The sequence below is a fragment of the Homo sapiens genome, chromosome 5 (assembly GCF_000001405.40).
Source record: "Homo sapiens chromosome 5, GRCh38.p14 Primary Assembly".
Lineage (NCBI taxonomy): Eukaryota > Metazoa > Chordata > Mammalia > Primates > Hominidae > Homo > Homo sapiens.
This window is the reverse complement of record NC_000005.10, coordinates 38,932,731-38,956,102: the sequence shown is the minus strand read 5'-3', so window position 1 is coordinate 38,956,102 and position 23,372 is coordinate 38,932,731. Positions and strand designations below refer to the sequence as shown.

The following is a 23,372-nucleotide window of genomic DNA, read 5'->3' as shown; positions in this document are numbered from 1 at the left end:
TGATTGGATACAGTAAATAAGAGGTCCAACTTGGCTCATAAGGTTTCTAATTTAATGACAATATATAATGGATCACTATTAAGAGATCACATTTATAAAAAGTGATTCAAGATTAGGCTAATGAATTTTCAATATGTTGAACTGGCATTGTCTGTGCAGTAACCACGTGATGGCTTGAAAATGTGGATCTGGAGCTCAGATTTGTGAGGAAAATGGCAGATATGGGGGTCATTAGTATATAGTACTAGTTGAAACCTGAGCCAAAAGCTTATGGATATGATAGAACATTTGCATTCATAATACCTTGATCTGTCTACCCTTTGCTAAGTATCTGACATATTTTAAATTTAGTGACTCATTGTGATACTATGTGCAATTAAAACAATATTATCCTCTAGGAATACAACTCCAAATATGTTGACTTGATTGAGGAACAACTCAATGAAGCACTTACTACTTACCGGAAGCCTGTTGATGGTGATAACTATGTTCGTCGGAGTAACCAAAGGTGCGTACCCAGTTATCAGATTTAAAACTAGTTCATCATAAATTATTTTTAACATTTCTGAGTTTTTGTATATTCTGCTTCTAACATGATATAGGAAGAATCTTAATGCGCAGCATTAATTGCTCAAAAATTCAGTGGCATTCATGGCATGTTGAATATCCTTACTGATAACGCATTCACATATACTCCATGCTGGCACCCCAGTCTGTATTTCTAGGCCTAGATTCTCTTACCAGTACTTTGAGCTCTGATAAACTGTTACAGGTTGAACATCACTTATCCAAAATGATGAAATGTTTCGCATTTCAGATTTTTTCAGATTTGGAATATTTGCATATATATAACGAGATACCTTGGGAATGGTACCCAAGTCTAAACATGAAATTAATCTGTTTCATATACGCCTTATACACGTAGCCTAAACATAATTTTATGCAGTGTTATAAGTAATTTTCTGTATGAAATAGTTTGCATTAAATACTAATGTGTGGAATTTTCCACTTACAGTGTCATGTCAGTGCTCAAAAAGTTTTGGATTTTGGATCATTTTGGATTAGGGAAGCCCAGCCTATATTTTACCTGAGAAATCCTCATTCCTTGTTACTTTCATATTTTTATTTATGCTGGAGAGTTGTATCTAATTTTATTTATCAAACATTTATTAAAATTCTTTTGTTCTAATTAGCATATTTAAATTAGCCAAGAGATATAGTAATCATCTTTATTATACTAGATTACAGCGTCCTCACGTCTACCTGCCTATACACCTTTATGGACAACTAGTACACCATAAAACAGGCTGCCATTTGTTGGAAGTACAGGTAAAAACATAATTCACTTATTTTAAGTAGCTACAATAGTAAAAAAAAAACAAAATCTTAACATTGCTAAAATATTACCTTTGCAAAAACTTCTCAAAAGCTTTAATATCAGTGGTGTAATTGCTTTTAAATTCATCTATTTTGTAATTGACTTAGGCATTCTATATTTATTAACCTGAGAAATATTAATGGCCTTGCAATGCATTAACTGACTTGTGTATGACTTTTTGAATAACTAACTTGTTATGTAGAGTAAGCAATCCAATGAAGATCTGAGTTCTTTTTTTAGAGTTTAGTGGAGAAATTCAGATCTCCAAAAACGTACTGAAAAACCGAGTTTTTCTTCCACTCATTGGGAAATTAAACTGAACCTAATACAGATTAAGTTATCCTTGTTGAGCAATAAATTGAAAGTTGCTGGTTGTGAGCACATTTTATTCTCGCGTACTTCATGGAATGTTAACAAGCATAGGCAAGCAGTTGTTCTTTGAGTTATAATATGTACACCGCATTTATGGTTGTGAATATGTCATGCAACTGTTTCCAATAAATGTAACGTTTCTCTTATTTTAGAAATAAAGTTATAGGAATATTTGTTTTTGTGACAGAACAATAGTTATTTAACAATTTAGTTCCCGATTGTATCAGTATTCATCTCAAGAGCACAAAGTTTTGCATAAATGTACTCTATAGTTTCATGTGTTTTTATATTACGTCTGTGAAAACTGTTGGGACAAGTATTTTCATATTAACATTTGAAAATTTCACTAAAAATTTAAATGATTTTCTCAGTGTTACTACTTACATAGTATGATAAAACCTAAGCACTAATTTACTTTCTGTTTTAAAGAATAAGTATGATTATTTAGTAATACTAAGTGCCAAGTACTTTGGTAAGCACTGTATGTGCAATAATTTATTAAATCTTGAAACCTTATGATGCAAATGTTATTATCACTCTTCTAGATATTAGGAAATCAAAGGATGAGGAGATGAAGTAACTTGCCCAAGGCCATGCAGTTAATAAGTGATAATTCTAGAATGTGAATTCAGAACCCCTGCCCTATGCTGCTTCTCAAGAAATTTTACATAAAATTATTTAGAATTTAAATATGCAAAAATGACAAAAAACAAACGTTATACTGGTTTTATGATGCAATAATAATATATTAAATACATAAATATATTATTACTCATGGTATTTTTTTTTCTTTCTCCAGAATATTATTACAGAACTCTGTCGTAATGTTCGTACACCAGATTTGGATAAGTGGGAAGAAATTAAAAAACTGAAAGCATCTCTTTGGGCCTTGGTTTGTAATAAACACTTCTGTAAGATCTTCGCAATTTTTAGATTTTTAAGTTTTTTTTTCATTTATACTAAATAGATAAATATTTTCTTTGGAACTACTTATTAGATTAATATTTAAGACTGGATTGTTCCTGCCAATATAAGTGTATTATCTCTATGTTGAAGAATAGATGGTTGAACTATTGGTTTCATGACTTTTGTTTTGTTGCTAAGACAACTAGAATTAATTCATGCCTAATGTTTTGTACTTGAGGAGGCTTTTACATTTTTTCTCTCTCAGAGATGAGGTTAAATTTGTTTCTTGGTAGCTTTCCAAATCTTTTGAAAGAGTGACTCTTATATTTGATGTAAGTGATTTCTTTTCTTTCAGGGAAATATCGGCTCATCAAATTGGGGTCTCAATTTGCTACAGGAAGAAAACGTGATTCCAGATATACTAAAACTTGCAAAACAGTGTGAAGTTCTTTCCATCAGAGGGTAGGTCATTTAACTCAGAAATCTTTCTAATGTAGACGTTGTTATTCACAAATGGATGTTAGGGGAAAGTATTTTATGATTAAGTGCAATGCATAACTGTTAATCCACTGAAAGTTCTAATGATACAAGATTATTAACTGTATTAAGTTAAACATCTAAACGAACTCCTTGTTTACTACTATAATTTGATTTTTATTATATTGAAGTTTACCTTGTAGGTAACAGGTAAGGCATAGTGTTGTACAGATACTCCAGTATTCCTGTAACCCAGCTGTTCCAGATTTATACTAGAAAAGCTAATATACCTTTTTTGCTCATGTTGCATTGTGTTCTTTTTATTTTGTTGTAATTACTATTTTTATTGGGAAGGTTTGCTTGTTTTTTATTGCTGCTAATTTATTCCTGACTAGTCTTAATAAGTTTTTTTTTTTCCACAAACGCAACCATTTTGGTGGGTTTTAGAGAAAGTTCAAAGTATGTATAGCAAATTAATCTGTGGTGGCTTTAAGAAATCTCAGCTTGGAATTATAACTGTTTTTACTGCATCTTTTATATACAGGACCTGTGTATATGTACTTGGGCTCATAGCTAAAACCAAACAAGGCTGTGATATTCTAAAATGTCACAACTGGGATGCTGTGAGGCATAGTCGCAAACATCTGTGGCCAGTGGTTCCAGATGATGTGGAACAACTCTGTAATGAACTTTCATCTATCCCAAGCACTCTAAGTTTGAACTCGGAGTCAACCAGCTCTAGACATAATAGTGAAAGTGAATCTGTGCCATCGAGTGAGTATCCTGACAGGTTCATATAAAGTTAGCCAATGTTAACATTTATATTTGAATTTTAGAATTTAAATGTATTTGTTACATTTGTAATTTGCTTTTGTCTAAGATAATTATTTGGCAATAATAGCCTCTTGGAGAATGTGTATATTTTCATAACAAAGAGTATAATCACCAGCTTACATTTTTCTCTCTCCTTATATTCTAAGTAGCTTTTGAGGATTCCTACAAAGTTATGTAATAAGCCATGTGCCAGAAGAACCAGTCCTCCTTTTTTTGACAGAAAAGAAACAAATATAACAAGTATTTATTTGTCTACCTTCTTTATTTAATCTTTTTACTCATTTTTCAGATACTGAGATTGTTGAGCCAGAATATATTTTTAACTGATATTATATTCACATCTTCATTTTTGAGAGAAGCACTAAATTTTAAAATAGTGAAATTGTTAATAGAGTAACAAAAATAGTTATATATAAAATGATTTGTGGTTTTAAGTCCTGTGCTAAGTGGTGTTAGGTGTACAAAATTTAAGGCATGGTTCTTCCTTTTAAGAAGATAGTGTCAGCTTTATCAGACTGTGTATTTCACCAAATCTGAGATGCCATGAATTATGAAATATGCCAATATTTTATGTACCACAAAAGAAGAAGAAAGAAGAAGTGCTGCCTATTAAACTAGGACATACTACAAGATGCATATTGATTTTAGAATCAGATTCTGTGTGAAAATAGAAGGGATTAAATGTGAAAAGTGTGCATCTTAGAATTGACAAAATATAGAAATGGTAATGCAGTATGCAAATTCACTTAGGATTTTCTTTTACCTTCTTTGAAAATATATTTGAAGTATTTGTAATTATTCAACAGAAAAGTTAATAAAAGAAAAATCGTATAGATGTCATTAGGCACTCACTTGGGTTGCGTCTTCTAGTAGAATTGGGCACTAAATTTAATGAGTTTCTTAGTATCTAAGGTAAAATGAGAAATAAACATAATTTAAACATGAATTTATAATGTTACCACTTGGTTCTCTGTAAGTATATTTTAAGATTGGGAATTCATTTCTTACAAGGTGAATTTCTCCTGCTTATAGTAATTTAAAGAAGAACCACTAGGAATCTGTAGTAATTGAGTAAGCATCCATGGCCAAGTCTCCTTTTTCCCTTTAATTTCATCCTGAATATTTGGAGAATCAAAAGAAACTTCATGTAACCTGTGCCATAGTGGGTCTTATAATAATTTTTCTTTGGAAATAACAGGAGATTCTCATAAATTACATAATTTTACATTTTATTCAAGTCCAAACTCTGGGTTTCAAGAAAGATATTTTCAAGTAGCTGAATGGTTTAACCGTTTATTTTTAAATTTTTTCCTCTAGATGACTAAAAAAAAATTTCCTGAAATGTGATGTCACTAATAGTTATCATGAATTTGTCATTTTATATGTGTTTTTATTAATTGATCCTTCAATCATAGGTATGTTCATATTGGAGGATGACCGGTTTGGCAGCAGCTCTACTAGCACATTTTTCCTTGATATCAATGAAGATACAGAGCCAACATTTTATGACCGATCTGGACCCATAAAGGATAAAAATTCATTCCCTTTCTTTGCTTCTAGTAAACTTGTGAAGAATCGTATCTTAAATTCGCTTACTTTGCCTAACAAAAAACATCGTAGTAGCAGTGATCCAAAAGGAGGGAAATTATCATCTGAAAGTAAGACAAGCAACAGGCGAATCAGAACACTTACGGAGCCCAGTGTTGATTTTAATCATAGTGATGATTTTACACCCATATCCACTGTACAGAAAACATTACAATTAGAGACTTCATTTATGGGGAATAAGCACATTGAAGACACTGGTAGTACACCAAGCATTGGAGAAAATGACTTAAAATTCACCAAGAATTTTGGTACAGAGAATCACAGAGAAAATACAAGCCGAGAGAGGTTAGTAGTAGAAAGTTCAACGAGCTCACATATGAAGATACGTAGCCAAAGTTTCAATACAGACACTACAACAAGTGGCATAAGTTCAATGAGCTCAAGTCCTTCACGAGAGACAGTAGGTGTAGATGCTACAACTATGGACACAGACTGTGGAAGCATGAGTACTGTGGTAAGTACTAAAACTATTAAGACAAGCCACTATTTGACGCCACAGTCTAACCATCTGTCTCTCTCCAAATCAAATTCGGTGTCCCTGGTGCCTCCAGGTTCTTCTCATACGCTTCCTAGAAGAGCACAGTCCCTTAAAGCACCCTCTATTGCTACAATTAAAAGTCTAGCAGATTGTAACTTTAGTTACACAAGTTCTAGAGATGCTTTTGGCTATGCTACACTGAAAAGACTACAGCAACAAAGAATGCATCCATCCTTATCTCACTCTGAAGCTTTGGCATCTCCAGCAAAAGATGTGCTATTTACTGATACCATCACCATGAAGGCCAACAGTTTTGAGTCCAGATTAACACCAAGCAGGTAAGCAAATATATGTTTAGAAGTGACCAATAATGGTTGCATTTTAACAAATTTAAATACAAAATGTTAGCCAGGTTTTACACTATGTGAGCCTCATCACTGACCTATTATAATTGTTTACTATGGTAGGCTATAAGCTCCTTGTTACCCGATATGACTTGAAATGGATTCTTGCAGCTGCGAGGGGGGAAGAAAATCCTATAGGCCCTGAAAATAAACATACATGCTTTGCAAAGGACATACAAGTCACAAGCTTTTTTTTATTTATTTCTCGCTTCTGCAAGGATCGATTTTAAAAAGAAGCATGTCGGGGGAATCAGGAGCTTAAGACCTACAATAACAAACAACCTTTTCAGGTAGGTCAATTTAAGGCTCCAAAAGTTGACCTCTTTATTATTTTTTTAAAAAGATAAATGAAAATTTCAGTGAAATTATTTTCACTTTAAGTAGCTGTGATTATTAAATAGGAACCTAATAAACACTAAATGAAATACTTGGTCCTCATGACTCAGCAGGGATTTCTATACCATATTTAGATTATATCAAGCTAGTCAAAGTGAACAGTTTAGATTTTACTTTTAAAAGATACACAGTATTTGCTGCAAAAAAATTTTGTACCTATAATTTTTGTGGTTGGACCAAATGCTTCTAAACAACTTTCCTTAGTTTTAAATTATTCATTTACATTTATTTAAGTGGATTAATATATGTCAGGTACTTATATGTCAACAATATATGTTAGAATACTTTAGCACATATTAAGCACTCAATAAAAGTTAGCTATTTATCATCATCATTGGTAGTTATTTAATGTAATCCATCTAGCCCTTACATTATTCTTAATAACATTAAGCAGTTTTGTTTCAATAATGCTTAACACATTTAATAGAGGGTTTCTTGGTAGCAGACAATGAATTGTGTACCCTTACAGGATTTAAGAAATTATGCAGCAATGTCTCATCTATCTGGAACTCACTAGCTTTGGCAACCTTGTCCAGGACAAAGCCAGGGAAAGTTCTCAACAGCTCACTGTTACAAATCTATGCAGTAAAGTTCATGAATTTTGAACATTCCTAAGCCTCAGTTACCTCATCTGGTGGAGATTGCACTAGATCAGTGGTTGTAAACTTTTGTATTGTTGTTTTTTAAGCAGAGAAATTATTTTTTCACATAAAGATTTCTGTGGAAACCCAATAGGTAGAATAGATAGAAAGGGACCTATACTGGTTGAAATAGGAATTGGGAAGGGGAATAATCCAATAATTGTTTTCCTCCCACTCCAGTAATCCTTGAAGAGTTTTATGGGAACCAAAGAAATGTAACAGATTACAGTTTGAAAGAGTGTTTTTTGGGTGGAAATTAGGAGCATGGTTTTTGCTATGTTAATAGCTACTATTTAGAAAGCATTTCTTTTGTGTGTTTTACAAAATAATTATTTGATTTAATATTAGGCTGCATTCGTACATTTTAAAGACTTGGTTTTCCAAACAAAAATATCTTCATATAAATGTATATAAATGTGGAACCTTGCATAGTGCCTTGTATATATACAGCAGATACCAAGTAAATATTTTAGCATGTCTGTTGCATAAGTAAGAATCTGTATGAGAAACATGTATCTTATGGAAATATCAGTGTATCATATTTGTTATGGAATCTCTAGTAGTAAGGAGTACATTGTGGAAATATCAGTACATTGTGGAAATATCAGTGCTTTTTACAAGGATATCTCGTCATAAATGACCATTTTGCTCTTGTGTCTGTCTTGTGTGCTACATAAATCTTATGTTGATAATGAAGGCATTAAGGTAATTATCACACAAATAATGATATGTAATTGATCTCATTTTTTATAAATATAATATTAAATAGAGTTGATACACATATCCTTAGTTACATAAATGCCAAATCTAGTAGTCTCAAGTGATTATGAAGATAGTCCTTGGACCATGCTCTGACTACTGAGGTCAGTTTCTTTTTTTACTTCTAGATGTTGAAAGTTATTCTAATTGCCCACCTTTTCACCTTTACCTGAGAGACCATAACAGTTGTTTTTGGTAACAGTCAACATTACTGGTGACCTTTTACATAGCGGTCTATAACAGCTAATATTTTAAAGTGTTTATGTGTTGCCAGTAAACAAGATGACACTGCTTAATACATGACTAGCTACTTGTCTTTTATGAAGGTAGGAATATATGTTATTTCTTCATATGATTAAAATTACAGATCAAGAAACTAATGCAAGTGGTTTCTTTATGGTTTTATAGGTTCATGAAAGCCTTAAGTTATGCATCATTAGATAAAGAAGATTTATTGAGTCCTATTAATCAAAATACCCTGCAACGATCTTCCTCAGTGCGGTCCATGGTGTCCAGTGCCACATATGGGGGTTCAGATGATTACATTGGTCTTGCTCTCCCGGTGGATATAAATGATATATTCCAGGTATTATCATACATTTTATTGTTTTCCTATGAGTTGGTTTCCTATTTTTTCATATGCTGTAACTGCTTACTAGAAATCATAATTTAGGGTGGGCACCAGTTTGGGGCAGCATGATTTTTAAGACCGTTTTGTTTAAAGAAACTTTAAGATTAAAATTATTTTGCCCTTTTCAACTACTCTGTACTCTTTTATTTAGTCCTTAGAACATTATCCTTCCCTCTCTTCCCATATTAAATCAGTATCTCATTTGATTTCTTTATCCATATATTCTCTGTAGAAATTTATGAAATTTCTAACTTGTTTTTTAGTCACATTTAACTTATACCTCATTTTTAAATCCTCATTCCTATTTATCCCATAAAAGGTAGCCAGCCATATGTGGTACCCAGTAATATAAGGTGACCCTAATCCCAGGAGATACCCACAGATCTCTAGATGGTATATAGTACTAAAGAACACATTTTCTTAGAAGTTGAAAGACATTTTAGATAAACGCTAAAATAATTAATGTCCATTTAGTCACTAATAATATAATAAGGACTTTTTGGGTTATTTTGTTAAGTTTTGGTAGTTGAACCTTCAGTAAACTTGATTATAGGTTCATATGCTATGGTAATTCTATTTTAATTTTATTTTGTTTAATTTTGCTAATTTTCATAAAGTGGGCTTATTTTTATAGCAGGACTTACCATGGTTTATATCTTTTTTTAGGTAAAGGATATTCCCTATTTTCAGACAAAAAACATACCACCACATGATGATCGAGGTGCAAGAGCATTTGCCCATGATGCAGGAGGTAATGCATTGTGCATTGTACTTGTGAGATGCCTCTTTATATTAAAAAGAAAACTCTTAGTTCTTTCTAGTAGGATAACACTAAAAATTTAGGAAGACTCACTTTTGGATCAACTTTAAAATTATACCAAAACAATTGTTAAAGTCAGCTTAAAATTAAACCACATTTTTGTGTATGTGTGAGGGACTTAACAGTGTTTTCAGTGAAGTACTCAACCTTTCAAGGAAATAGAAACCAAATTAGTTGTTTCTGTTTTTTAAAAGTAGCACATGAACAATGTATAACACTAATCCTCATAGATCCAGGAAATAGCTGTTTGTTTAGAGTAAGGAGAAAGAAATGTACTTATAAAATACACGGTCTTTGTTTTGAACTGTTATATTTTAATATGTAAATATAAGCCACAGGTTTTATAGCTTTATATTCTTAATGACTTTTTAAACAAATGCCTCTTTATACTTAGAATTATTACATATCTTTAGGCAAATATTGACGATAATTGAAATGATGTATTATATAATCTCAATTTTCCATTTTGTATTTAAAACACTATATATTAAAATAATAAACATCTGCTGGCTTTCCTTATTTTTATAACTTAAAGCAAATTATTCTTTTTTTCTTTCCAGTTAGATTTTGAGTCATAAAATGTGCTTAAGCTTTCTTTAAAATTTCACATAATTTAAGGTACCTTGAAAAGTATTATCTTTATTGGATTATGTTTTATATTTACTTATGCACAGGTCTTCCATCTGGAACTGGAGGTCTTGTAAAAAATTCTTTTCACTTGCTACGACAGCAGATGAGTCTTACGGAAATAATGAATTCAATCCATTCAGATGCCTCTCTGTTTTTAGAAAGTACAGAAGACACTGGACTACAGGAACATACAGATGATAACTGCCTTTATTGTGTCTGTATTGAAATTCTGGGTTTCCAGCCCAGCAACCAACTGAGTGCAATATGTAGTCATTCAGGTAAGTGATCACGTCCCACCTTCAGAAAAACCTAGTGATGACTAAAGTTCTCTGGTTTACTTTTCCAAATTTCTTTTTGGTATTCTAATTCAGAGTTTCCCAGCTGGTGAGCTGCAGCACACTGATATGCCAAATTATGTTATGCTGAGATGCTGATCCTCTCACGGTTCCAGGTCACAGTGGGGCCTGAGTCTGACAGATCCCTGGATTAGGTCTTTTCCACTGTGAACAGCCCTGTCCAGGCCCTTTGCATGCTGTAGTTATTTTCATTTTCTATGAGGAAAAAAGTTTTGGAAGTGTTTGGTATATTGCATACAATTAGAGAAGATGTTATTTTATATTATTTCTTTTTAGCATGCAATGTAAGCACAGGAATTAAGCCGTTATGGTGCTTTAATTGAAATAATTATTTTTTTCTTCAGACTTTCAAGATATTCCATATTCTGATTGGTGTGAGCAGACTATCCATAATCCTTTAGAAGTGGTTCCCTCTAAGTTTTCGGGGATTTCTGGATGCAGTGATGGGGTGTCTCAAGAAGGCTCAGCTAGCAGCACCAAAAGCACAGAATTGTTACTAGGTGAGTCTTCAGATTCAAATCCAATCATTATTAGTAAAACTGTTCTGATTAGTTGGTTTTGTTTTGTTTTTCGTAAATACTGTAAATTAAAGTTGTCTCAAAACAGTAATACGTCCATTTTAGTGAAGCAATTTAACACTGTTAATTATTGCACCTATATCACCCACTGACATAGAGCCTCTTAGCTATCTGCTTTTATTAGAGTTTTGCTCCCAAAATGATTGGTAGATCATGTGTAATTGATCTCTAGGTCTTTAGGTGAAGTTTAAAAATAAATTTCATGAGTTTTAATCATTTTATTGTGACATAGATAATATTTAACTTCTCCCTGAAATCTTTTCAGGTGTTAAAACAATTCCAGATGATACACCAATGTGCCGTATACTCCTTCGCAAAGAAGTTCTAAGATTAGTCATTAATTTGAGTAGTTCAGTTTCAACTAAATGTCATGAGACTGGGCTTTTAACGTGAGTAAACTATGTGCATGAGTATTATTTGTTTATTCTGTTTTTTAAGTCGAGAAAAGATACTTGAAATACTTCAAAAGTTAGGCTAGTTAACTTACATCAGTAGTTCTAAACTGCATTGCATACCTGTGTGAGGCTAGATTTTCTTTAATACTTCAGCCAAAACAACATATGGCAACAGATTGAATGTAGAAGCAAGTATGAGAATCCAGCTATCTTCTATTAAGCCAGACTTTTGAAGAGATCTGCAAAAAATGTAAAATAATGCCACTCTTCTCACTTTTTTACTTTTGGAAAATACAGTTATTTTTATTAAAATACATGTTAACATGTAATGGATTTATTTTTAAAATAAATTAATGCATGTTAGGAAATTCTCTCAATTTTAATTTCTAATATAGTAGTTAATGGTGGCTGTAACCCACACAAAAATAAGCTTTTTTGGGTCTTCAGTAATTTTTAAGAAAGTAAGTCCTGAGACCAAAAAGTTTGAGGAAAGTGGGCTTACATGTAACAAGTCATATTTTCTTGGTTTAATTTTTTTCTTATTATTTAAAGCAGTGGTTCTTAAAAGAAATGCACCTCAGGGTCTCCTGCAGGGCTTTTTTATTTTGTATTTTGTATTTCTTTTTTGAGACGGAGTCTTGCTCTGTCACCCAGGCTGGAGTGCAGTGGTGCAATCTCGGCTCACTGCAACCTCTGCCTCCCGGGTTCAAGCAATCCTCCTGCCTCAGCCTCCCAAGTAGCTGGGATTACAGGTGTGTACCACCACACCTAGCTAATTTTTGTATTTTTAGTAGAAACAGAGTTTCGCCAGGTTAGCCAGGTTGGTCTCAAACTCCTGACCTCAGGTGATCTCCTGTCTCAGCCTCCCAAAGTGCTGGGATTACAGGCATGAGCCACCGTGCCCAGCCAGCTGTAGGGCTTTTTTTTAAGGGTGATATAGGTATTGGGGTCCCACATAGGTATCAGGGTCCCACAGCAGACCTCTGGGCTGGGAGCTCTGGGAGCGGGCCCTTAACTGGTCACTCACCCAACTCACAGCTGATTCTGAGGTGCTTTCCTAGCTAAAAGCTGCTATTTGAAGTATCCAAAGAAATAGCCCAGTCAGGGATGTTAATAACTTAACTTTAAAGATGTATTTCTATTTTAAAACTTAATTTGGAACATATTTTAATCATCCTAGGCTGATAAATATATTTTGCAATTTCTCATGCCAATAAAAAAGAATGCTTCAATTTTACAAGAAGTATTCAGGTTTTGATAATCATTTTTTTTAAAAAAAAACCCAAACTCAGAATGTCTAAGTGTGTGACAGGAATATTTAATATTTTATATTCTCAAGTCATCACCCCAAGTATGCCATCTAATCCATATCTGTAGGGAAATCTATTTTTAAAGTAAGTGATACCTTGGAGGAAAAATAGATACATCATGATTACAGTTTTCATCACACCATAATCTTTTATTTTAGAATTAAGGAGAAGTATCCTCAAACATTTGATGACATATGCCTTTACTCTGAGGTTTCCCATTTGCTGTCACACTGCACATTCAGACTTCCGTGTCGGAGGTTCATACAAGAATTATTTCAAGATGTACAGTTTCTACAAGTAAGTATGATTAGTACTTCTCAAATTTATCTTCCAAGAATAATTCTGTGTTTGAATTGAATTAAAATACAGATTATAGCTGGGTGTGGTGACTCATGCCTACAATCCCAGCACTTTGTGGGGTCAGCGCGGGAGAATTGCTTGAGCCCAGGAATTCAAGACCAGCCTGGGCAACATAGTGAGACCGTGTCAACACAGTTTTTTTTTTTTTTTAATTAGCCGAGGTTGGTGTCATCTGCCTGTATTCCCAGCTACTTGGGAGGCTGAGGTGGGAGGATCATATGAACCCAGGACTCAGAGGTTGCAATGAACAAAGATGGCAACATTGTGCTGCATCCTGGGAAGACTGAGCAAGACCCTATCTCAAAAAAAAAAAAAAATTAGATATTTATATAAATATGTTATATCATCTGTTTTTATAAAAGTAATTGATGATACACCATTTTTTCCCTAGATGCATGAAGAAGCAGAGGCTGTGTTGGCAACACCACCAAAGCAACCTATAGTTGATACATCTGCTGAATCCTGACCTCATATTTATGATGGATATAGATACATACTATATATATTCATATTTGTGGATTTCCTAAAAGCCTCAGAAAATACGACTGACTAGGCAGCAAAGACAGGAGTATCTTCTGTACACTGTTCCGCAGTTACTGGTACATGAACAGTTGGAACTGCTGACTTTCCTAACCAAAACAACTTCCTTCTCTCCTTTGTTGAGCCTTTTGAGGGGTTCATGATTCATTACCACAGTTTTAAGAGTTTCAGTTACCATTGTATGCAAGAGCCAAGCACTGAATACCTACATAGGTTTTCTATTTTCTTTCATTTTAAAAGCATAATGACAGTGGAACAATAATGGGATATGCAGAAGCACCCTTCACAAGTTATTTCTGAATGATTTTTAGGGTAAATAATACAGATGCCTTGTTTGTTAACTAACTTGTGGAAAGCAGGAATCAGTGTCTCTAAGGCTGCATCCTATTACCACAATGGGGTGTGCTATAACTGCTGGTATTAGAGAGGGAACTTTGGCCCTTTCACGTTTTTCTTAATGTTTGTAACACTACTTCAGAGGTTTATAACCTCAAAGCAGAAGAAGAGCCTCAACAACCCGGGACTTATAAGTTATTTTTATGTTACTAGACTTGCATAAAGATTCTTGTTTTCCAACTCTTCATTTTGTTGCAATGTGTTATTACAGGATATATGAACCAATTAAGGTTTTTCACTACAGTTCTTGAATAAAATTTAAAAATCATTTTTTATTTTAATTAAAAATATTTCCCATTTATAGAATGCATATATTTGCAATGGACTTCCACTTTCATCAACTTTCCATCTCATCGCTTTAAACAGGAACTTGAACAAGCACTGTTAGTTTAGACCTAAAGGATAGGAAAGCATTAAATAATACTTTGGATCTCCTGAGGAAAAGATAAGTTTGCTTGCAATTTACACATTCCATGGGGAAAGAAGAGCCATATTTCCTTAAAAAAAACATTAATAAAGCTTGTTATTGAGAAAAATTGTAGTGAAAAGCCTTAAGTACCAAATTTTAAAGCAGCAGTAACTTAATTTTTATATCAGTGTTTTTGTTTTGCACAAACTAAATGCAGTGGTAGGTGGGTTTATGAGTATATTAATTGCCTTTATCCATTTGTGAAGTTAAGTTGATGAGGGCAAGGTTTTTGTTTGTTTAATTTGTATATGTCTAAAGGTATTTGGAACTTTTTACAGGAATTAAACATATATGCAAATTTGTATATAAAAATAGCATGGCCATCATTTGAATGCTTGTAAATGAAAGGATTATCTTTTTTGAGATCTATATATAAATAGAAATAGAAAATCCAGCTGGACTGATTAGGATTCTTTTTTAATTCATTTGTGTATAACATTTTTATTACAATTACACATCAGTTTTGACACAGTCATAGCAACATTAATATTTTCCCATGATGCAGATCCTTTTTGTAATGGGCTTGTTCTTTGAGATCTCTGTAAAGAACCCTGTGAACTAGAAAACATAACTCACAGAGATACTTTTTTAAAAAATTTATTTACTGGAACTGAAAGTTCCAGTTGGGATGAAGCATTTCATCTCACTTCATAACACCTCTTTGACTGCACTTCAGTGAATTGTTCTTATGTGCACTGTGTAGCAACTTACATTATAACAAAGCAGATAAGGGCTGTAAGCTGCTGCTTATGTTGAAAAGTGGTTCTTCAGATTTTCTCTCATAAAATCCAGTTGAAGATAAATAATTTTTTTATACTTTATCACTGAACCCAAGTGTTTATTTAAATGTCAACAGTACTTCTAAGAACGTTGCCTGTCATCGTGGTCTTTGGTCTTGGATAACTAAACTGCCTTTCCAGAGAACCAAATGTCAGAGTTACTAGACCAAATAGTGGTTAAAACCTCCAAAGGAAGTAATGTAATCTTATTCATAATGGGATTAACATATTTTAGACATTCATTTTAAACACTACCTCAGTTAATATAGAGTATAAAAATCTGTGGTTTAATCCCTCAAAAGTTAACAGTAATTTTTTTTTTGTCTTACACACACACACACCCCCTCCCCCACCATCACTATCCCTGTACCCTCACCTTGGTCATCTATCCTGAAATAAGGCTTAGTTAGTATTGGCCTGAATGTTTTGTGTTTTTTTTTTTGTTTTTTTTTTTTACTGTTACTTTGAAAAATATGTATGTATACCTTATCATATCTGCCTATATCACTTACTTTGGGGAGATACTCAGAGCTTTGTGGTTATCAGTATACTAAAAAAAAAAAAAAGTCTACGCTTAAATTTATAGTGCTATTTGGTTTCTCCATGATTTCACTGACAGGTCTAATACATTTTCTTTGAGTACTTGTTTGTAAAAAGTAGACTTTATGGTGAAAAATACATGCAGTGCCAAGTGATTAACTTAAGTGTTTAAAAATATTAAATTATAGCAGAAGAGGTTAGGAATGATATCAGCAGTAATAGAAATAATTGAGAAAATCATCTATAAATAATAGATATTACAGACTATAGAATACCAAAATAATGTCAATACTGTAGTTTTTAAAGATTTTAGGATTAATCTTAGTCCATATAAATTTGTACTATTGGTAATTATTGAATAATTGGGAGGAATCTGGGCAGTTGTGCTGGTTGTAAACTATGAATTTCTAATCGTAAAGTGAATTGTTATTTCTAATTGAACTTTTTTTCAAGAACAGATTTCAGCCTCACATACTAAGTAAATACTGATAAATAAGGAAATTAGAAATTTAGTATTCATAATTAAATATGCTCTAAAATTTCCTATACTTTTATTTCCTGTTTATTCTTAGGTAGATTGGAAGGGGGAAACAGTCTGTTCTCCCTAATTAAATTTTTTCTAATAACGATTAGTAGAATATGGACATTCTATATGACAGTGACATTAAAAGAGGCTCTTTGGAAGTATATACATTATTAACATAATGTGTACAAGTCCTTTTGAAATGACAACTTTAATGGGTTTCAGCTCTTTTATCTAGAGCTTGAGATAATTCAAGCTGAGTTTTTCAGGGCATATCACAACGGCCAAGTGTTCAGCAGTGGGATATCAATGCTTATTTACATTTTCCTACTGCTATTTATATAAAATGTTATTCCATTCAGAGGATGCCTTTTATCCCCACATTAAAGCACAGATCATTAAGCAATAAAAACCAAATTGTCTGTCATTCAAATTATAACTGCAGTTATTTTTGCATGGTAAGAGTGAGGTGCTAATTTTGTGTGAGATGAACTTTGTAAACTACTTTGGGAAATGTTCTTTGGAAGTAAGGTTTTTTCTCCTTTAGTCTTATGCTTCCACTTTTGTCTCAGATTCACAATCCATTAAAACATGGGGAAAAAAGAAAAGGTAAAATTGAGAGACTTTTGTTAGAGGAGCTATTTGGAATGAACCAACATTTCAGATTTTCCAAAATGTAAGTTAGGAAGTCTCCATTGTCTCTGCATTAACAAAATACACTGTTACTATCTTAATCTCAAGAGTGTCATTACAGTGAGAATCTCATTTAAAAGCATACCAGTGAAATTAATAGCAGTGCTTATCAAAGAACACTGAAATCTGTGAGAATCTTTCTAGGAGCATTCTTTTCTTCTTTTAGTTCCAAGTTCCAGGGTATTTTTCATTCCTAGTAGGTTTATATGACTCACAGAATGTGGACTTTTTTCCTGTTTGGAGTATTTTTGTAATGTAAGTATCGGATAGCTGCACCACAGCATGCATAAATTGCACATTTTGTTTTACTTTCTTTATAGAATATTTAATTTCAAAAATATAATTTATGCCAAAAAAAGCATACCTTTCAATTTTGCTACTTGGTTGATTTAGCACAAAATGCAAAGTCTTGGGGCAGAGAGGGGGAGTGAAAAAAATTTTATAGGTAATTGTTACAAAAATACCTGTCAGAAACCCTAAAGCTGCATTGTAAAACAAATGGTGTAAACTAGTTTTGAAAAGTGGTAAGGAATTGTGAAAAAAATCTCAGACTTAATGCTCTCTAACCACATGAGTTTCTTCTTTTTTATTTAGTAATACGCTGCTACATATTTGGAGGTTCTGGTGTTTGTAGGTCACTGAACAGACATTGAAATCTGATTTATATTGTATAACTGTAACATAGAAAGAAAAAGTATTTATATTTTTTCTGTAAGAATATTTCATTGAGTTGTGTATAATTTAAATAAGATTTGTCCCCAAATGGTTTTGCTCACCTTGATTTTTTTTGTTGTGATTTTCTTGTTTTTGTATAATGTGTATAGTTTATGTCAAGGGCATTAAAAGCCTCCTGAAGCATAATCTTATCAAAGGGATACATTGTTAATAAAATGTACTTAAAATTCTTAAACTTTGTCATTGTTTTATTTGAAATCTTAAAATAATCAGTGGTCATATGGCCTTGATTTGAGTCCTGTAATGCCGATGCTGACACACGTGACTCCAAGCAAAAGTGACTTTTAGGTACCACAGACATGTAGAGTGGCTGTTACAAATATTTTAAAGTAATACTCTTCTTAAACACTTCATAATTAAACATCTTTGTAGTTTTTTAAATATCTAAAGGGATTTGGAAAATGGGTCAGTCTTTAGATAGAATAGCTCTGAATTTTTTTAGGAAATAATGTACAATATGAGTGATGATGATATGACAGTGGTGACTTCTCTGTGGAAGGTATTTGATTTCTCACACATAAACTGCCCTGATATTGGATAAGCTTACCTACAGCTACCTACTGGCAAAAGAGAGTAACATACACAGAAATTACCAATTCTGGAGGATAAAGTTGAGTGTCGAAGTTAGGGTCTGTTAATAAAATATGGTAAAATGTATGTCTCACTTCAAGAAACGTTTTGGACAGTTTGGCAAATTTCTGTATATCATTTTTTCCCAATGTCTTCCACTGTGTATGTCATTGAAAATATAGTTGGCCTCTTGGCCGGGCGCGGTGGCTCACGCCTGTAACGCCAGCACTTTGGGAAGCCAAGGCAGGAGGATCACGAGGTCAGGCGATCAAGACCATCCTGGCTAACACAGTGAAACCCCGTCTCTACTAAAAATACAAAAAAATCAGCCGGGCGTGGTGGCCGGCACCTGTAGTCCCAGCTACAGGGAGGCCGAGGCAGGGAATGGTGTGAACCTGGGAGGCGGAGCTTGCAGTGAGCCAAGATCGTGCCACTGCACTCCAGCCTGGGCGACAGAGCAAGAGTCCGTCTCAAAAAAAGGTAGTTGGCCCCGAAATAAAAAGCATACTTACAAATTCATCATGCCGCTGATCCTTTAAAAAAGTCCTAATGTAGCTGAACTTGGAAAATATTGTTTCATTTTTAAAACTTTAGCATATAAAATACTCAAAAATACGGTACTACTTCGGTATTGATTTTAAGAAACTAAAATATACTAAAACAACTTTCCTTAATGCTTAGAGGAATAAAACAACTATGCTTTCAAATTGAATATACCTATTGTGTTGTAAACATTTTAACTGAAAGTTGTGAAAACTGTCTTCTACTTTCTCTCTTCCAGAGTTTTAAAAGTTCTACTTTATGCAGACTGCTTTAACATGCTTTGTAAATTATTTGAGATGAAAGCTTATCATCTTTCAACAGAACTCTTAGAAGTGTTTAATAAGAAGATATTATTAAGTAAGTCTTGACGTTCTTCATCAATACACATTCTAGTAGGTAACAAGGTTGACCCTAATTAGTATGGGTTAGGTGTTTGAATGTAGGAAGCGTTTCAGCAGTCGTACTGTTGTGTGAAGAGGTCCCAACTCCCATCTTGAATTGTCGAGTTCCCCCACACACAGGTGAGGACCGTGCACAGGCTGACGCAGGATGTAAAGGCCATATATGCCAGTCCCATCCATCCACCACCCAAATATCCTGATTGATTTTTTTTAAGGAATTATTACTGTGATTTTAGGTGCAATTTTAACAATATTATGACTATTAGAAAAAGTAGAGCTTATTTAGAGAACTCAGATATTGACATGAAATCATGATATCATGATTTGCTTCAAAACAATGTGAGGAGAAAGCGAACAGGGGTGTGGATGGAGCTGAAACAGTCATGGGTAGTGACCATTGGGGCTAGTGATGATACATAGTGGTTTATTAAACTATTCTACTTTTGTGTATATATTTATTTGAAATTGTCCATTATTATTTTCCTGACACATGAATATGTATTATTTCAAAGTTTCTGAATAGCACTTCCTAAAGCCATGTTAAGATGGCATATAGTATTGAAAACTAAGGTTTTGAACGTGAATTTATTTGGTTATGACCATTGGAGACGAAATGTTTACAGCCAAGACTACAGGTCATAGTGATACTATGAAGACAAATGTTACAGAGCCCAGCATTTCCTATTGGCATGTTGTTATATTTCAGAAAGACTTCATTTGATTTAGGCGAGTGATTCTCAAAGTTTAGTGTGTAGATGAATGCCTGGGAACTGATGATAAAAAATAGATTCCAGGTCCATGCCCCAAAGATTCTGATTAAGAGGTTTGTAGTCATACCCAGGAATTTACATTTTTATTTAGTAAGTTCATGAGGTGATGTATCATCTAAACTGAGTAATTACTAGATTTTCATTTCATTGAGGGAGATAAAACACAATGTGATGATGAAATATTTTAATTAAGGTTTATTTCAATAGCAAAAATGACTTCAAGATTTTGCGTGAATTATTTTTTAAACAAAACTATATGAAAAATATGTACAAATCAGTCATCAATGTCATTGACATTTTTATGAACAAGTTTCAAATGAAAAATATCCCATCATAACAAAGGTACATAAATAAATAAATGCTGACAATACTGGCCCTAAAGTCTAACACAACTGTTAGACTAATCAGGATACCGCTTTCTACTACGTGAGGAGCACATAATCAATGTTTCCAGCAAAAGGCAAGTACTGGTTTGTGTAGGTTTATTTAGGCCAGTTGTTGACAGCCACATTATTTTGAGGTGTGGCTACTTGTTTCTCTTCATAGTGTTGAATGGCACAGTGCAAGGCATTGGGCACCAGAAGCATGAGCATAGGCAGAGCCATTTCCACCATGCTGACGGCAGGCAAGAAGAAGACAAAAATGAACCCCTTTCATGCTTGTTTAGAAATGTGACGGCTAGGCGCAGTGGCTCACGCCTGTAATCCCAGCACTTTGGGAGGCCAAGGCAGGCAGATCACCTGAGGTCAGGAGTTCGAGAACAGCCTGACCAACATGGTGAAACCCCATCTCTACTAAAGATACAAAATTACCTGGGTGTGGTGGTGCATGCCTGTAATCCCAGCTACTCAGGAGGCTGAGGCAGGAGAATTGCTTGACCCTGGGAGGCGGAGGTTGCAGTGAGCCAAGGCTGCACCATTGCACTCCAGCCTGGGCAACAAGAGCGAAATTTCATCTCAAAAAATAAATAAAAGTAAAATAAATGTGACAAATAATGTGACAAATAGGCTGGGCATGGTGGCTCACACCTGTAATCCCAGCCCTTGGGGAAGCTGAGGCAGGTGGATCACCTGCGGTCAGGAGTTTGAGACCAGCCTGGCCAATATGGTAAAACCCAATCTCTACTAAAAATATAAAAACTAGTCAGGTGTGGTAGCATGCACCTGGAGTCCTAGGTGCTCTGGAGGCTGGGGCAGGAGAACTGTTTGTTTGAATCTAGGAGGCGGAAGCTGCAGTGAGCTGAGATTGCACCAAAAGAACCAACATGTACTAAAATACCAGTTGTGTACCAGGTGCTTTGCATATATTGGTTTGGGATATATTGGTTCAGAGGAGACAAAGCTGCTCCAGAGCCAACACGGAATTTCCCACTTCATAGAACTTTTTAGTTATATCTAAATTATGTCCAACAATGAGGTTTCATTTTACTATTTTAGCATAATATGAATATAAATGTGACTGAGAGTTATCTTGACCCAGACAACCTACTGCAGAGTCCAAAGGATGCTAAGTGAAAACAGGTCATTTATATATAGTTCTTGAAAGAAAAGAGGAACCAAAAACTGTGACTGGAATTATGTGATATACGTTCCTTTTTATGTTCTGAGGTAGTCATCAAAAATGATGGCAGAATACTGATGTCTATGGAGCAGAAGTACAACTGACAGTAAGTCAGAAGTTACTTGCCAATCCCATTCTTTCACTGTAGTAAGCTTGACAGAAGAATTGTGGAAATCTTGTTGATTCATCACACATTTTATATATTAGATTAGAGCTATGCCCCCCGCCCCCACCCACAGAGTTAATTTTACTGTGTCAGTGAACTATAGATTCTTATCCGTTCAAGGTAAGTCTAAAATCTGTTTTGGCCTCAAACACCTGTGAGTTTTTTATAAAACACGCTCAGTAAATTTACATTTGACAATCTATGCTATAGTAATGTCTCCTGTGGCCTTTATTAAAGCCTTCAATATAATAATTGCTGTTAATGGAAATATTTCCTCAGTAAAAACTGAACTTCTAGGACCACAGCCACCCTGTACAGTACTGAGTGGGAGTCTGTAGAGTGGTTAATGCATATCCTTAGGTCAAGCTCAAGTCTCCTGTTCTAAAGGTGAGCCTGGAACAAACAGCAGAAGGTAAGCATGCTCCCATGATCCTGCCGTCTCTAGGGCAAGCTTGCTCCAATGGGGAGTGTTAAGTTCCATAGCCTCTGGCCTTTAACCTAGCCAGACTGTAGTGGTCTTATATAAACCAGACCTGCAAATCGTACTGGGATTAAGGACCAAGGCCACTGGTGATGACAGGGTGCCAGCTCTGCTCTTCTTAATGTCTGTGTAGCATAAGGTATGAAATCGGCATGCTGGTTAGCAGTAGTGTTCACCTGGATCTAAAAGGGTAATTGAGGAGAGGCTGCTATTCTCGGTCGGGGGAGGCAAGGCAAGACGCAGGGAGACTGCCATTTGCATTTTATACTCTGAACAGTGTGGTGCCTCTACTGGGTTTGTTGGGAGACTGTCCTTGTCTCCAAACATGGGTGAAGCCAACTGGGACACATAATTCAAACTTGTTTCTCCAGCTGGGATTTCTCCCAGGGAGTTCATGTAGTTTTTTTCTAGTGCCTTTAGTACATTTTCAGGTGAGGTCATTAGTCCCAGCATACTTGGGGCTTTTGGGGATACTGGAACATGGCCACAAGAGCCAGAGTCAGAAGCTGCCTGGTTATAGGTCAAGTTCTCAAAACAGATGCAGGGGCCAGGGCCAGAGTGATTCTTTTCTGTTGGAAGGAGATAAAGGTAGTTAGGCTTAGTCAACTCGGTTTCTGTGAGTGACTTCCTAGTGCCTAGGAACTGTATCTTTGTCCCTTCTGGCTTGCTTACAACTTCAATAGCATCTGGGATACAGTCACTGACATTCATTATTATTAGGTGAGGGTTCTCCTAGAAAGGAAACAAAAATATGTAAATATAGACATTTGTGTGTGTGCATGCATGCATCAAAGTATATTAAGCATGTGAAATACACTTAGAGCTTCAATGTTCTTCATGTTTCTTCCTGGTCACAAGTAACCTGGAGGTGAT

The 23,372-nt window shown here is 34.4% G+C and overlaps 2 protein-coding genes across 23 annotated transcripts in view, besides 2 other annotated features; one reads left to right on the top strand and one right to left on the bottom strand.

Annotated features, from left to right (window-relative positions):
• RICTOR (RPTOR independent companion of MTOR complex 2) overlaps nucleotides 1-18,183 on the top strand; it is a 136,480-nt gene extending 118,297 nt beyond the window's left edge. For 4 of the 11 annotated variants that reach the window (NM_001438246.1, NM_001285439.2, XM_047417068.1 and 1 more), the window contains 14 exons: nucleotides 399-508; nucleotides 1,242-1,329; nucleotides 2,550-2,642; nucleotides 3,012-3,118; nucleotides 3,678-3,907; nucleotides 5,383-6,391; nucleotides 6,676-6,747; nucleotides 8,662-8,839; nucleotides 9,551-9,635; nucleotides 10,379-10,612; nucleotides 11,035-11,190; nucleotides 11,534-11,657; nucleotides 13,132-13,270; nucleotides 13,725-18,183. In NM_001438246.1, the coding sequence (NP_001425175.1) occupies nucleotides 399-508; nucleotides 1,242-1,329; nucleotides 2,550-2,642; nucleotides 3,012-3,118; nucleotides 3,678-3,907; nucleotides 5,383-6,391; nucleotides 6,676-6,747; nucleotides 8,662-8,839; nucleotides 9,551-9,635; nucleotides 10,379-10,612; nucleotides 11,035-11,190; nucleotides 11,534-11,657; nucleotides 13,132-13,270; nucleotides 13,725-13,799 (2,700 nt within the window). In that variant the 3' untranslated portion in view covers nucleotides 13,800-18,183. The remainder of the gene's footprint in view (nucleotides 1-398; nucleotides 509-1,241; nucleotides 1,330-2,549; nucleotides 2,643-3,011; nucleotides 3,119-3,677; nucleotides 3,908-5,382; nucleotides 6,392-6,675; nucleotides 6,748-8,661; nucleotides 8,840-9,550; nucleotides 9,636-10,378; nucleotides 10,613-11,034; nucleotides 11,191-11,533; nucleotides 11,658-13,131; nucleotides 13,271-13,724) is intronic. The other 7 variants (NM_001438249.1, NM_001285440.2, NM_001438248.1 and 4 more) reach the window with 3 other exon arrangements.
• Nucleotides 7,251-7,420: an enhancer, noted in NCBI's record as "experimental_84768 CRE fragment used in MPRA reporter constructs". NCBI's record gives its function as "activates a minimal promoter by MPRAs in K562 erythroleukemia cells, with activity observed for both the introgressed and non-introgressed 5:38948870 variant alleles {active_cell/tissue: K562}" and the evidence as "EXISTENCE:reporter gene assay evidence [ECO:0000049][PMID:34662402]".
• OSMR (oncostatin M receptor) overlaps nucleotides 10,524-23,372 on the bottom strand; it is a 99,568-nt gene continuing 86,719 nt past the window's right edge. For 6 of the 12 annotated variants that reach the window (XM_005248384.1, NM_003999.3, NM_001323506.2 and 3 more), the window contains exon 18: nucleotides 20,462-23,231. In XM_005248384.1, the coding sequence (XP_005248441.1) occupies nucleotides 22,659-23,231 (573 nt within the window). In that variant the 3' untranslated portion in view covers nucleotides 20,462-22,658. Of the gene's footprint in view, nucleotides 11,903-20,461; nucleotides 23,232-23,372 lie in introns of those variants that run through there. The other 6 variants (XR_925661.1, XR_007058659.1, XR_007058660.1 and 3 more) reach the window with 2 other exon arrangements.
• Nucleotides 22,477-22,646: an enhancer, noted in NCBI's record as "experimental_84767 CRE fragment used in MPRA reporter constructs". NCBI's record gives its function as "activates a minimal promoter by MPRAs in K562 erythroleukemia cells, with activity observed for the introgressed 5:38933644 variant allele {active_cell/tissue: K562}" and the evidence as "EXISTENCE:reporter gene assay evidence [ECO:0000049][PMID:34662402]".